Source organism: Homo sapiens, chromosome 5, assembly GCF_000001405.40.
Source record: "Homo sapiens chromosome 5, GRCh38.p14 Primary Assembly".
NCBI lineage: Eukaryota > Metazoa > Chordata > Mammalia > Primates > Hominidae > Homo > Homo sapiens.
The window spans coordinates 136,347,822-136,362,128 of record NC_000005.10 but is presented as its reverse complement, the minus strand read 5'-3'; the positions used below and the strand labels follow the sequence as shown (position 1 = coordinate 136,362,128).

The following is a 14,307-nucleotide window of genomic DNA, read 5'->3' as shown; positions in this document are numbered from 1 at the left end:
GTTAAATATAACTATTGTATAGTCATTTAGAAAAATAGCTAAGCTGAGTATATCAATGTACAGTAAAATGTGAGACAATTCTAATAATTGTGTACCTAAGTGCATTGATAGGTAAGATTTTGATCATTATTGTCATGAACATTTGTATAAAGTGTTATGGTATCCAGGGCATTTGGTAGACATTATTTAATCCTCACTGTGCTCCTGAGGAACATGAGGAATGGGCTTTATTACTCCCTTTATTTTGGCAAGAGAACTGTGGTTTAGGAGAAGACTCCAAATGACTATTTCATCACTGTTGCTCTAGACTAATACTCAGAATATGTACTCTTGGGAGAAGATGCACAGATCAAAGCTGAGTTTTCCTGGGTGTTTGATCTGACTCCTAGATTCTGTTTGGTTCTATATCCAGTTGGGGAATATTACAGGCTGAATTGATTTTAAGCTTGGATAATTTCCATAGAGAATTTTGATGCATGTAGCATTTTAGAAAAGAGACAACAAATATCTCTAAAAAAACATTTTGATTAAGTGGCCTTTTCTTCTTCAGTAATTAACCACAATTTCTGTCTCCAAAAGGCTTTATGGCCATGCTCATCTGCAGCTGGACTTAGGGCACAAGATTTATACTTTTCATGGGTCAATGACATCTGGCTTCCTTCAGACTGGCTGATGCATCTGTAAGAGCAGCTTGATAAAAATAACAACTGAAGGATCAAGAGGGAGTTTAATAATCAGTCCTCCTCTCATATATGGTTTTGTTTCCGCTGGAATCCTTCTTCCAAATGACATCAAATGTTAATTGTATGCATTTCTGGAAAATGTAAAACAAAGTGTCTTAATTGGGGTATTTAATCACACATTATCTCAATAATATGTGCAAATAAAAATGTATTTGCATTCAAAGTTCATTTTTAAGAAAAATACTAAAATAAGGGCAATCAAATGCCAATTGCATTTTAGGGAGATTCATTTTGCTTATCATTGGCCCTAAAACTGTGATAAGATCTCCAGAGTTCATCAGGGCAGCACATCTGATTCATGAGTGTAAGCTTTGGCCACCAACTATTGAGAGACATGTGACTTTATCTTTCTGACACAGCATCTTTTGTGGATTCTTTCCAACCCGTGTGATATGTATAGCTAAAACATGAATATCTGTGATATCAAAATTAAATAGCAAGGATATGGTGGCTGAATATATTCACAAGTGCATAAATGTCTAAAAAGTATCATTAGAGGGATATTAGGGTAAGAGGGAGTCAGAGCTAATAAAAAGGCCACAGTGAGGTTAAAAGGCCTCCATCAATATCTGCATCAATTCTCATGGCTTCATAGTCTATTGTGAAGCCCCTCGCATTGGAAGCAATTTCACTGAGTAGCACATGCCATTATCTGCTTATATGCATACATGACTCTAAGGCTCATAAGATTTCATTTTTAATGCTAAATTCTGCTAGGAAAGGAACAGAATTGATGATTTTGTGAGCATCCAAATGTTTTTCAAGGCTGAGGTTTTAAAGGCTGCGAAAGAGTCTTGTTTATTTCTTACTACATCTGGGTGTCTGCTTTCAAGGTCATTCAGAAAAATGCTTGTCAAATGGTGAGGACATTTTAACGTCTGCCAAGTACTAGCTATACACATATTTTTTTTGATAAAACATAATTATTGTAGAAACATCAAGATTTATATGATGCCCTACCCTTGTGCAGAAATTATTTGTCCAAAGTCTTAGGACTTAAGATTTAGTCTTTTCACTTGACCTACCAGAGTTTCTTCACCTAAAAGATGAGAATGCTAATACTTTGCTTTTTATGTTTTGTTTTGTTTTGTTTTGTTTTGTAATGAGTGGAATTAACAAACAATGCTTGAATATCCTTTAAGTTTGTAGGCTGCAGTGTCTATGATATTCACAGGGACTCTGAATTTAGATTGAGTACTTACGTGTTCCTTGTGAAATATTTCTCTGCTATGACTTGGTTCAGTAGTCATTAAATTTCCTTTGAGTTAATCTCTCCATGGCTTGTTGCTGTGTAATAGTTGGGTACCCTTGACCTTGTAGTCTGACCTATTCTCCCTCTTGAGCAGACCTCTAATGGAAAAGTGCCGTGGAATCAAGCTGTATTGCAGCTTCTTCTCGGACAGCTGCTGTTTCGTATCTGACACACTGCTCAGATGCTCTTGAGTGTAAACTGCTTTTTCTCAGGTTGAGTTGTGATGGCTAAGAATAAAAAAAAGTGTTTCTGAGAGAAGTAGAAGCCTATTGTAGGACAGGCTGAGTACTTCCATGAAAAAGATTATTATTAGTCTTCTTTGGGCTCATCTTCTACCTGTGTGTGTGTGTGTGTGTGTGCCCAGATGACAGGCCTTGAAACTGAGTTCATTACATCTCCTGAAACAAAGCCTCTTGGGAATACAAATAGGGTAACTGCTTAGCTTTCGACTCAGTAACTTTCTCTTTCTGAAAACCCTATAATAATAAGTGCCTGCACACTATTTGTGAATCTTTCTCTCCTGTAAAGGTTTTTCTGGGACTCCTAATCCACAGTCTGCCTTTGGTACCATTGAGCAGACTGTCTCTGGAATGATGGCATTGTTGAAAGGAATGGGCTCAGAAGGATCTCATGAATTTGAATTCTGACAGTCTTTTCCCCAGCAATCTTTTATCAAAGTGCACTTTAAAAAAGTGGATGGTGGTTCAGACGCTCTTCCTAAAGGTGTACAGAGCTCTCTATTAGGATTTATCACCCACAGTTGCCTTTTGAGGGAGTTGCCCATAATTATTCTTTTTATTTTGTGCAGATAAAGAAGTTGCTCCATATATAATTTAGGAGCTTTTTCCCAAGGGAAGTGTGACTCAGCTCCAGGCAGGATTAGAGTACCAAGATCTGATCTGCATTATTTGCTTTATACCAGACATACGGCCCCCAAGGAGCTAAAACCAAAAAGGTTTGAGCAGGTCGAAAGGTACAATGAGCAGAAAACTAAATGGAGTCCCCAATTTAAACATTCACAAGGCTAATTGCATAACTTTTTAAAAATCTCAAAAAATTGGATTTAATTTTAAAGCCTTTCTCTGTGATCATTTTTGTTTGACTATTTTTAAAAATGGCTAAAGTGAAATACTGAGTATTGTTTATGCATGAAGACATAACAAATTAAAAAAAGACAATTCTCTGGGACCATAGAAAATAGTTAAAAACAAATATCCAAGTACTTACTCTTTAAAACGGATACACTCTTGATAAAATTTATGCCATTCTAATATTCTCTGAATAATGTGAGTGGAGGTAGAGTAGAAAAGAAAAATAGAAAATACAGGTAGAACCAATTGGAGAATCAAAAAAGTTTAAGATGTGCAAGTTGGTAGAGGCTTAGGAAACACCTGGTCCAGCCCCTCTATTTCATAGTTATCTGAGATCTAGAAGCTGGGACCTGCTCAAGGTCTCAAGGCTAGCTGGAGATGGCATATCCCTGACTTGAGCTCAAATTACACAGTAGCTGTTATTGTCTCTAGTTTGCTGTTTCAACACTTTGGTAATGTAAGTTTGGGTAACTTACATTGTCCAAGACTGGCAAATGATGGAGCCCGGATTCCTACTCTAAACCTTCTAACTTCAAAGTCTGTCTTTCAGCCCCCCTACTCTTAGTATCTTCATCTGAGGATGAGGAGAATAATAGCACCTTCCTCACAGATTTGATGCAAGAATTACACAAGTTAATATATGTGAAGCTCTTAGTATAATACCTGGCATATATTAGGTGCTTAATAAATGTTAACTGCTATTATTAGTAGCATTAGTATTAAGCTCTACACTAGGCCACACTGGGAAACAGCAATAAGTAAGAAGGGGACCCAGCATATAAGTTGAGCTATTTCTTCCATCCATATAGAAATCCAGGCTCAATCTTAAGAAGCTAAGGCTGAATTCTCTCAGAAGGGTTGCTTCAGTGGCCATCAGAAAGTGACAGGATTCTAGTCCTGCTCCCTGCCACATCTTGCCCTTTAATAGGTGCCTAGGTTGTGTGTGGACCAGAAAGCACTGTCCCCATAAAGAACAGCACAGAATGTAGAAACGGACACGTGTGATATGCATGCATGCATATTGCTGCAGTTTTGCCATGGTGTAGGAGCTCATTCAGGGGGAGACATCTGAACCGAAGGCAGCCATATTTGTGATGGCCAACTCTATGGCACAGCCCTTGGAGAGCTGGGCATAAAAAGAGGCAAGAGGGAACAGAATAAAACCTACATTGACTTATACTTTCTACTTACAAATTACTTCATTTAATCCTCCTACAGACTCTGCAGCACATGTAAGTTATCCACATTGTACAGGTGGGAAAACTAAAGCATAGAGGGGTTTAGTGGCTCTCTCGACTTTATATAAACGGAAATAAAACCAATAGCCTCCTGCCTGCTTCAGCCATACCACCACCCTACGCCCCAGCCTCCATCTCTTATTAGGGTCCTTCTAAATCCATTTTTCAGCTCTGCCACCCCGTCTCCACCCAAGGAGTATAGAGGCAGACAACTGAGTCATATTCTACCACTTGAAAGAAATAGTACAGGTAACCCAGTGTGTCTGAATCTTGATGATTAAGACAATGATTTGTAAGATTGCACAATTCCTCATAAGATTCCAAGCATGATATTCTTTGTGTATCTCAACCATTTTTGTGTGCTCTACTGCTAGGGAATCCGCAGGAAAGTAACAGGGCATCTTTGCCTTGTCCCATAGGTTGAGGAACAGCACCTTCAAAAACATGCAGCGCCGGCACACAACGCTGAGGGAGAAGGGCCGTCGCCAGGCCATCCGGGGTCCCGCCTACATGTTCAACGAGAAGGGCACCAGTCTGACGCCCGAGGAGGAGCGCTTCCTGGACTCGGCTGAGTATGGCAACATCCCGGTGGTCCGGAAAATGCTGGAGGAGTCCAAGACCCTTAACTTCAACTGTGTGGACTACATGGGGCAGAACGCTCTGCAGCTGGCCGTGGGCAACGAGCACCTAGAGGTCACGGAGCTGCTGCTGAAGAAGGAGAACCTGGCACGGGTGGGGGACGCGCTGCTGCTGGCCATCAGCAAGGGCTATGTGCGCATCGTGGAGGCCATCCTCAACCACCCGGCCTTCGCGCAGGGCCAGCGCCTGACGCTCAGCCCGCTGGAACAGGAGCTGCGCGACGACGACTTCTATGCCTACGACGAGGACGGCACGCGCTTCTCCCACGACATCACGCCCATCATCCTGGCGGCGCACTGCCAGGAGTATGAGATCGTGCACATCCTGCTGCTCAAGGGCGCCCGCATCGAGCGGCCCCACGACTACTTCTGCAAGTGCAATGAGTGCACCGAGAAACAGCGGAAAGACTCCTTCAGCCACTCGCGCTCGCGCATGAACGCCTACAAAGGACTGGCGAGTGCTGCCTACTTGTCCCTGTCCAGCGAAGACCCTGTCCTCACCGCCCTGGAGCTCAGCAACGAGTTAGCCAGACTAGCCAACATTGAGACTGAATTTAAGGTAACTCTTCCACTTAGCACCCTGCAGGCAGGTTGCCCAGGGGGCTCTTCCACGTGTGTCCAGTGTGAAATGGGTTGTCTTCAAATCTAAGAAAGAGGGAAGCTTCAGGATCTTACTGAGCAGGCCCAGGGGAGGAGGGGAACACATCTCACTTATCAGAGATAGGCCTGAGGAAAAGCAGCCCTCTGGGTGAAATGCTTTAAACTACATGAATGCGGTAAGAAGTGACTTGAGTACAAATGCATGCAGTAAAAGACAGGCGAGTGCAGGCAGGATTATGTTGTGGTTCTGATGTCAATGCCTTAGCTCCGCCTCAGGGAGCTCAGGAGTGTCTAGGACACCTAAGGACCTGTGGTTATTTCCTAGTGCAGGGCTTAGACTTCTTGATTATTTCACCTATGTGGCTTTGATTTGTCTTGTTCACATCTCTCTCATCCTGGAATGTCTTGATCAGTCTCAGTCTAATAGGAAGACCTGGCTGCAGCTTTTCTTAAACCTGGGAAGTTCTTGCCATTTTCTTGTCAATGGGCTGAGGAGGAGGTTTAAGAAAATAAGAATGAAACTGTCTCTGTAGAGTGTGTCAACCTAGTAGACGAGCTCAGGCGAAAGCTCTAATTAAATCACTCTGAGAACACCTTGACCTGCCAGGTCAGCCTAGAGGATGCATCTCCAAAGTGCATTTTTCAATAGCAGGCCTGTGCTTTTATTGTCAACAGACATTCCACCTGAAAGAGACAACTGGGCCCTAAAGTATGAAATTCTTTTCACACAGTGTTTAATAATAATAAGAGCAATTTTTTTTTCCTTTTTGAGGCAGAGTCTTGCACTGTCACCCAGGCTAGAGTGCAGTGGCACGATCTTGGCTCACTGCAAGCTCTGCCTCCTGGGTTCATGCCATTCTCCTGCCTCAGCCTCCCAAGTAGCTGGGACTACAGGTGCCCACCACCATGTCCAGCTAATTTTTTGTATTTTTAGTAGAGACGGGGTTTCACCATGTTAGCCAGGATGGTCTTGATCTCCTGACCTCGTGATCTGCCCACCTCGGCCTCCCAAAGTGCTGAGATTATAGGCGTGAGCCACCACACCTGGCCAAGAGCAAATATTTAATGGGCACTTATTGTGTGCCTAGCACTAACCACCTTATCTATATGATCTTATTTAATCTTCTCAGCAACCATATGACATGAGTACTGTTATCAGCCTCATTTTATATGACGGCACAGAAGTAGAGAGAGGATCACATAGCTAGTAAATAGCGAAACCATTTTTCTAATCTAAGCACTCAGACCCCAGAGTCAACTCTTGGCCACTTCAGGAAACTGAGGGCCAGAGCCTTGCTTGTATATTGAGCTTGTGAGGTTTCACTTGTTTTTACCTGAATGATAAAGGATTGCCCACTGCAGAAGGTATAGCTGGAAGAGTAGGAACCACAACTGGGCTCATTATTTCTCATGCTGCCATTCAACCAGAGACTATCATGTGCTACATGACATACAAAGAGGTATTGCACACAGAGCTGTTACCGCAAGTGAAAACTTCATGGTCCAAACTAGATGTCATTGGGGGAGCTGCCCCTGTATGGCATACAATTATACAGCCAAGAATGGGTACCAGCTCATACCAAGGAAGGCTCTCCTGGGACACGTTTTTCAGGGAGGGCTCAAAGGAGATGTAATTGGGTTGGGCCTTAATGAGTAGGAGTGGTTGGGTCATTACGAAGAGAGAGTAGGCATTTGGAGGAGGTAAGTGAAGATGAGTCTCAGAATGCGCCAGAGCAGGGAGGATGAGTAGTTCCATGTGACTCAAATACAGGCTTCCTGTAGGCCATTCAGGAGGAAAGCTGAAGAGATCAGTTGGGGAAGGATCTCAAAGGACCCAGCAGGTCAGGCTGAGCACTTTTAAGGTTGTCTTGTAGGAAAGGGAAAGCCATGGAAAGTAATTAGGGAACTAAAGTGATGAAAACTAGAGTTTGGGAAATTAACTTGTCTGGTAAATAAGATTAATTGGAGAATTTGGAGTGTGAGGCACTGGGACTGAAGAGAGAGAAAATTTTGTTGTATGTAGGTGAGGCCATGGAAGCCTCTGTAGGAAGATGTTCATGCCATAAGCCAGGGACAGAAAGGCCAGGCCAACAGGAGGTTGCAGGGGCCCACAAATTGGGACTAGATAATAATTATTTAAAAAGTTTACTTTATGTCATCTGTCCCCCATCTGAGACCCAACCACTAAATTGAAGCCACTTCTCTAAATCCTACATTGTATGGTCTCATCTGAAAAACTTAGTGGATGTAGAGGTAGAGATTACTGAAAGAAAGTCTTAAGGAATATAGCCTCTTTTTTGTTTTTTTCTGTACAGTAAACCTTACCTACCAACATTAAGGTCAAGGATGTGCTGAGGAGAATTGGTTGAACTTTGCTTGTTGCTCAGTCTTCTGACCTATTCTGCATTGGCCGTGCGAAAGGAACAGCTAAACCAATTAATTCAGATATTTCAAGCCAAAAAGTTTTTTAAAAATTCAAGCAAAAAAATATTTTTTTGGATCAGATTATCTGGAAAATTGCACAGTTCTCTACCATATGTGGGAGCATGACAGCCTTACTAAATAAAATGATACTAAACTAACATTTGGAATTACATCTGAGACATTTTTTTTAGTAAAACTCAAATCTGGCATATTTCAGTATTTGCAATATCTAAAACTGGAAGTTCGTTTGAAAGCATCTACTATGATATTTTGATTTTAAAAGTAAATATGAAAATTGTGGACAATTAAGAACACCAGTAACGTGATGAAAAATCCTTTCTACAATTCAGTGACTTACTTGGAATAAGAGTTTGCATCAATACATTTGCTTGCTGTTAACATCCACCTAGTTACCTTTATTTCAAGTAATGTCTTTTGGATTGTCGACAAATGGCACAGTATAAATTAACATAACTGTTCCTTTAGAACTTTATTAGTTATTCAGTTAGCCTTATATGTGCATTCCTGACATTATAAATCTTCTCAGAGGAGAGCAGCTTAGCAGGAAAGAAGTCAAATTGTAATAAAAAAGAAAATAAAGAGCAAGAGAGTGTCTTCTAAAATGCACTCTTTCTGAATCTGTTCTGCTTTCAAGGGACCACACGTTGCTGCTTGTAGTCACATATTATGGAGATGACCTGATGCCATCAGTTGTGTAAAAAACTATCAGATTCTCATTGGAAATGTCATATGTCATCCTCCACATCCCCTAAAATACTCATTCAGGGAAAAACTCTTCCTGACTAGGAAGCATCATCCATGAAAAGCCTGGATTTAGTTTTCCCAGACTATTGTTTTTGGAGTCACTTTAATTTATCACCAGAATAGACACTAGTCATTAACAAAAATTGCAGCCAATGTCAAGGTCTTCAGCAAATTGTGGCTGGAGTTAGATGCCCGCTAGCAAGCCATTATTTTTGGTGTGGAAATCATGTAGCTGTTCAAGGATTTTCTTATGTCTCTCTAATCTTGGATCTAGAAAGATATTAAAACTTGATGTGGTCACTGGGGCCTCCCCAGTGCCTTGTGTGGTACCCAATAAACTAGTGAGCATTCCGGAAATACTTGATGAAGGGAATAAAGTAAATCCTAAAACAATAATCATTTCAACTGATGAAGCAAGTGACTCCTTTTCTTTATGGTTTAAACTCTTCCTACGTGGGTGGATTTAATAGCGGCGTTTGATGGATATAGTGAAACGAGGAAGCTCTAAAGAAACTTACAGGCTGGTTGGGGGCACAAAGTCCATACACATTAAATAGCTGTTCCCAATCATTTGCTTCACTGTATGTGTATGGAGGGCAAAGTGTGTCTTCTTGATCTTCCCCACAGTACCTAAAATGGGTTTTGGGAGCACTGCCAACAAATGACATTTTGGTTGATTGGTTTATCTATGCAGTAGGAGCCAGAGAAAGGGAAGATTGGTGTGAGCTGGACTTCTCAGAAGTGCTTCATCCTTGTGGAATATGCGCTCTCTGTGTAGAGGCACCTAGAGTAGCCAGGAAAAATAAAAAATTTGTCTACCTCAGTTGGGTAACAGCCACCAAGAACACAATGTGATGTCTGAAGCTCTCCTGAATTAATCTGCTTGGTTTTCTTCACTGATCATCTTTATGATAAAATTGGTTAGGGTCCATTTTATTTTGCTAGTCTCCTTTATTTGCTTCCCAGTCAAATTCCTGGGCATTTTGTCTATGCATTTTATTTTTCTGTGGAGCTGTTATTTCAAAACAATTAGAGGAATTAATATTTCTTCCAACTGAGTTATGGAAACAGCAATGCCTGGTGGGGCAGGGCGGGGACATGGAAAGAAAGGATGACAAGGGAATATTGTAGAGTGAGGTTTAGGACTTTGGAAGGAAAGAGAAAGCAGTATGGGGTAGGGGTATCTCTCTTGCTTTCTCATCTTTTGCTTACATTTGAAAGCATCCAGTGTGCCCAAATCAGAGACTGTGGAAGCCCCACAAACACCGTATTGCAGTTATTTAACATCTGGTGGTTCTAAAGAATAACAAAGCTACAACTAAGAAGGCTCTTCCTGTTGACAAAATAGCACGGAGGCTGTCGATGGTGTTTCAGTCACAGGCAATTTATCCTTTGAGACTTCAGAGGGGAAGAATAGGGGGCAAGAACTAACTTTATCCTACTTAAAGTGGTAATGATTTTTCTGTTTATCAATGGGTTGCTAACCACATGTATTATGAAAAATAGCTGATGAATTATGTATTAATGTTTGTGCTATCATTTTAAGACTCATGAAAATTCTCTGGGCCTAAAATACTACAAATTAAAAATGCAAATAATGATAAATCAGACCAATTTGCCACCTGCTATGATATCTAGAGAGATCCCATTGTGGAAGGTAAAGATGTTTAGGTGATAATTTGTAATCTGCTTGCAAACTTATCAGAATAGAAAGGGGAAGAGTGAGGAGAAGGAGTGACTTTGTCTTGTTGTGCCAGGGCTCAGAGCACATCTAACCTCTGGCTGTGTGCAGCCAGGGAGACAACAAATTGGGGAAAGGCCCCCACCTGGGCTGCCGCTGAATAAGCCTATTGCCCCAGCTTTCAGTGTTTGCACCAGTTTCTCACATACTTTCAATCATTTTAGAATTTTTAAATGTTATAGTCCAACACCCTGGGAAAAATATTATACATTTCCTTGAAGTTTGAAAGCTTGGCTGGTAGTATAAACAAATGCCTGCTTAACATGCAGGAAATGACTTGAAAATTGTTTCCTTTTCTATTGGGAAAATATTTTTTAAGCTATGAAGGCTGCAGGTCTTAAAGGGAAGTTTTATGTGTGTGATGTGTGCCTGTGTGTGTAAGACAGAATCTAGAAGAAAAGTCCTCAAAGCATGAGCTTATACATTTGGCTGTATCTATCCACGGTTCCACATCAATGGATTCAGCCAACTGTGGATGGAAAATATTTGGAAAAAAAAATCACAATACAATAAAAATAATACAAATATATAAAACACAGTAGAACAACTATTCACATAGCATTTACATTGTATTGGGTATTATAAATTCTCTGGAAATGATTTAAAGTATACAGGATATGCATAGGTTATATGCAAATATGATGCCATTTTATATCAGGGACTTGAGCACCCTCAGATTTTGGTAGGGAGGAAGGTCATGGAACCAATCATCTGCAGATACTGAGGGATGACTGTATACCATCCCTAATCTCCTCAGGGATCTGTGTCCCTCTAGTCCTGTGTTTGAGCATCTGATGATGCAGAAGTGTGAGTAGAGGAAAGAAAGCTGATGGATATCAGGTGATGAGTTGATGGAACTGCCACTCAATAAGCATACACAGGTGAAATGTAGTCAAAGTGTGCATGCCTTTCCTCAGGGCCACACTAGGGTCTGGACACAGGACCCCATACCTGAGAGCAAGACCCAGGGACTGGCTTATCTCCAGAAAAGGGACAAAGTGACTTCTGCTTATGTTAGCTTTGTTTTTTTCTATTTTTCTGCCTAAGTGTCTAGGGGAATGCTTTTCCCAGACCATTCATTAATGAGTCATCACAGGAAAATGAGTCAATTAATGTGTCCTTTAATAACAACTTTTCATTGGGTCACAAATAGTGCCTAAAATTAGATGATGTTTCTCTTCTAGGGTCTATGTCATGAGTATCTGCCTCCAAGGTACAGGGAGACTGTATGCTCTGGGTGACAGTTATTTGAGTGTGATAAAAGAGACAAGTGCAGAGGGGCAGGCCCTGGAGGGCACCCATTGCACCATGCTTCATCTCCTTGAGGCTGAGAAGTGGACAGCGAGGAGGTTGGCCCTGGAACCAGACTGACCTGGTTCTCTCTCTCCTACCAACCATGTAATCTTGGGCATCTATTGGAAGGTAGTTTCCTCATTTGAAAAATGGAGGGTAGGATACAGTCATGTGTTACTTAATGAAGATATGTCCTGAGAAATGCATCCTTAAGCAATTTCATCACTGTGTGAACATCACAGAGTGTACCTGCCCAAACCTAGATGATACAGCTCACTACACACCTGGGCTATATGGGATAGCCTCTTGCTCCTAGGCTATAAACCTGTGCAGCATGTTACTATACTGAACACTGTAGACAACTGTAATATAGTGGTCAGAATTTGTGTATATAACATATCTCAATAGGAAAGGCACAGTAAAATACCACATAAAATTTTTAATGATATACCTGTATAGGGCAGCTCCATTATAATCTCATGGGACCACTGTCATATATGCAGTCCATTCTGGAGTGAAATGCTATTATGCCATGCATGACTGTACTTCAGTTGTAACTTGACCAAACTGGAATACTTGTTTTCTCCACCCAAACATTTGCTCTTACCCTAATCTGTCCAACTCTGTAAGTGACATTGCCATTCATCAAGTTGCTAGGAAATTTCTACACTTCATCCCATTTAACCTCCAGAAAATCCTGGCACATATAGTATTAAGTAAATATTAGTTCAGTAAATAGACAAATAAATCAGTGATCAAATTAATGAATAACGACCTCCCAGGGTGTTGGTGAGGATTAAATGAGATAAAAAATACATAACTTCTTACAGAGAAGCTGATATACACAATAAGCACTATTAATTTTTCACCAGAGAGCTCCATGAAGATCTCTCTGTTTCTCAGCACCCACTGGATCTTCAGCACCACAACTTTTCCTCCCAGTAACACGGCTTAAAATTCAGCACCTCCTCTATTCAGAGGGTCTTGCTGATTTCTGTTAAGCTTCCCATTCCCATAGCAGATTTTTCCAGCACAAGAAAACAACTAGGCTGTACGTGTGAGCTCCATGGTTAAAAATAGGCCAAGGGAATATTTTCCAATTGAAAAAAATGCAGAACACTAAAACTGAATAAGCTTAGAGTGCTGCTAACATATTACTGTGGAGAGAGGCGACATGGGCTGGAAAGATAGAGAAGCAAAAGAGGAGGAGGAGGAAATGGGCAGGCAGAGATCCTGACAAATACAGAGATTATTTTTTGAAAAATATCTCCGTGGAAAAGATTCATCACTACACATAAAAAAATTGAGAAAAATCATTTCCTACACAAGTGCAACTATCAGTCTGAAATATCAGAGATATGGAGAAAATGGAAACAGTTCTTTGAGGATGTTAGCCAATGAGTAGTAGCACAAATTAAATCAAATGGCAATGCAGAGATTTTTCTCTGAAAAAAATAATTACAATGCTATATACATTAATCACAGTAGAGTAGCATTAATCAAGTATGCTGCACACACCATCTGCAGGGAGGCACATGTTTTATTAGCAGTAAATTCACACTCAGATTAAATACAGAAAATATTTATCAGGATGGGGACAAGATCTATAGACTCACAGAATATCAGAGGTAGGCAGGCCCTAGTAACAGAGCCATCTGAAAATTCCCTATTCATGCAATGAATACATATAAATCTTCTAGTCTGGACAAGGCTCTGAGTTGGATGCTGACATAAAATGAACAAGATAAAGTTCCTGCCCTCAAGGACCTTATTGTCAAGGGGAGAAGATAGGTGTCCTCCATGTAATCATACCAATAAACACAGCATTACAATTGTGCTAGAAAATAAAAATGCAATTCTAAAAGAGTTGTCTCAATGGGGCAGCTTACAGCAATGTCTAAAATGAAACCCAATGGAATAAAAGAGATAAATGGACAACAGAGAATAGGAAAGAGGGCTCTGAGTGTGGAAATGACACATGAAATAGCCCAGTGAAGGGAAGGAGAAAAAGAAGCCCATTCAGAGAATTGTGAGTAACATGGTCTGGATCTACTGGAGGGAGTAAACAGAAGTGGCAGGTGACATGGATGCTAAAGAGACCTTAGCCATGGCTTTGCCATTAGTGGCCGTGTAAGAAGTTGGACTTCATTGTAGGGTGAATGGTGAGGCATCGGATGTTTTCAGCAAGTGAGTGAGTGACTCATATATGCAGTTTGGAAAGATCTACTCTACCTGCTATAGAAAATGGACTGGAGAGCACAAGAATGGAAAGAGTTGGAAGGCCTATGTAGGAAGAAGAGACCCTCCCAGGAAGGGGTGAGTGACATATGAATGCAGAAGGACTAGTGCATCTCCACCAGCAGGTGCTTCATTGCAGATGAAGCCACAGCGCAGTTGGAGCAGGTGACTGGCTCCTGGCTGCTTCCAGGACCACCGTTTTGTCTTTAAGCTCCCCAGGACCCTGCTTCTCCTATCTCTGGGACCTCTCAGTGCTTCACAGTGGTGCTCCAGGCAGTGGAGAG

The 14,307-nt window shown here is 41.2% G+C and overlaps 1 protein-coding gene across 4 annotated transcripts in view; it reads left to right on the top strand.

Moving 5' to 3' along the window:
• Positions 1 to 14,307, top strand: part of TRPC7 (transient receptor potential cation channel subfamily C member 7) — a 152,801-nt gene that overhangs the window by 3,417 nt on the left and 135,077 nt on the right. For all 4 annotated transcript variants that reach the window (NM_001167576.2, NM_001167577.2, NM_001376901.1 and 1 more), the window contains exon 2: positions 4,744 to 5,521. In NM_001167576.2, the coding sequence (NP_001161048.1) occupies positions 4,744 to 5,521 (778 nt within the window). The remainder of the gene's footprint in view (positions 1 to 4,743; positions 5,522 to 14,307) is intronic.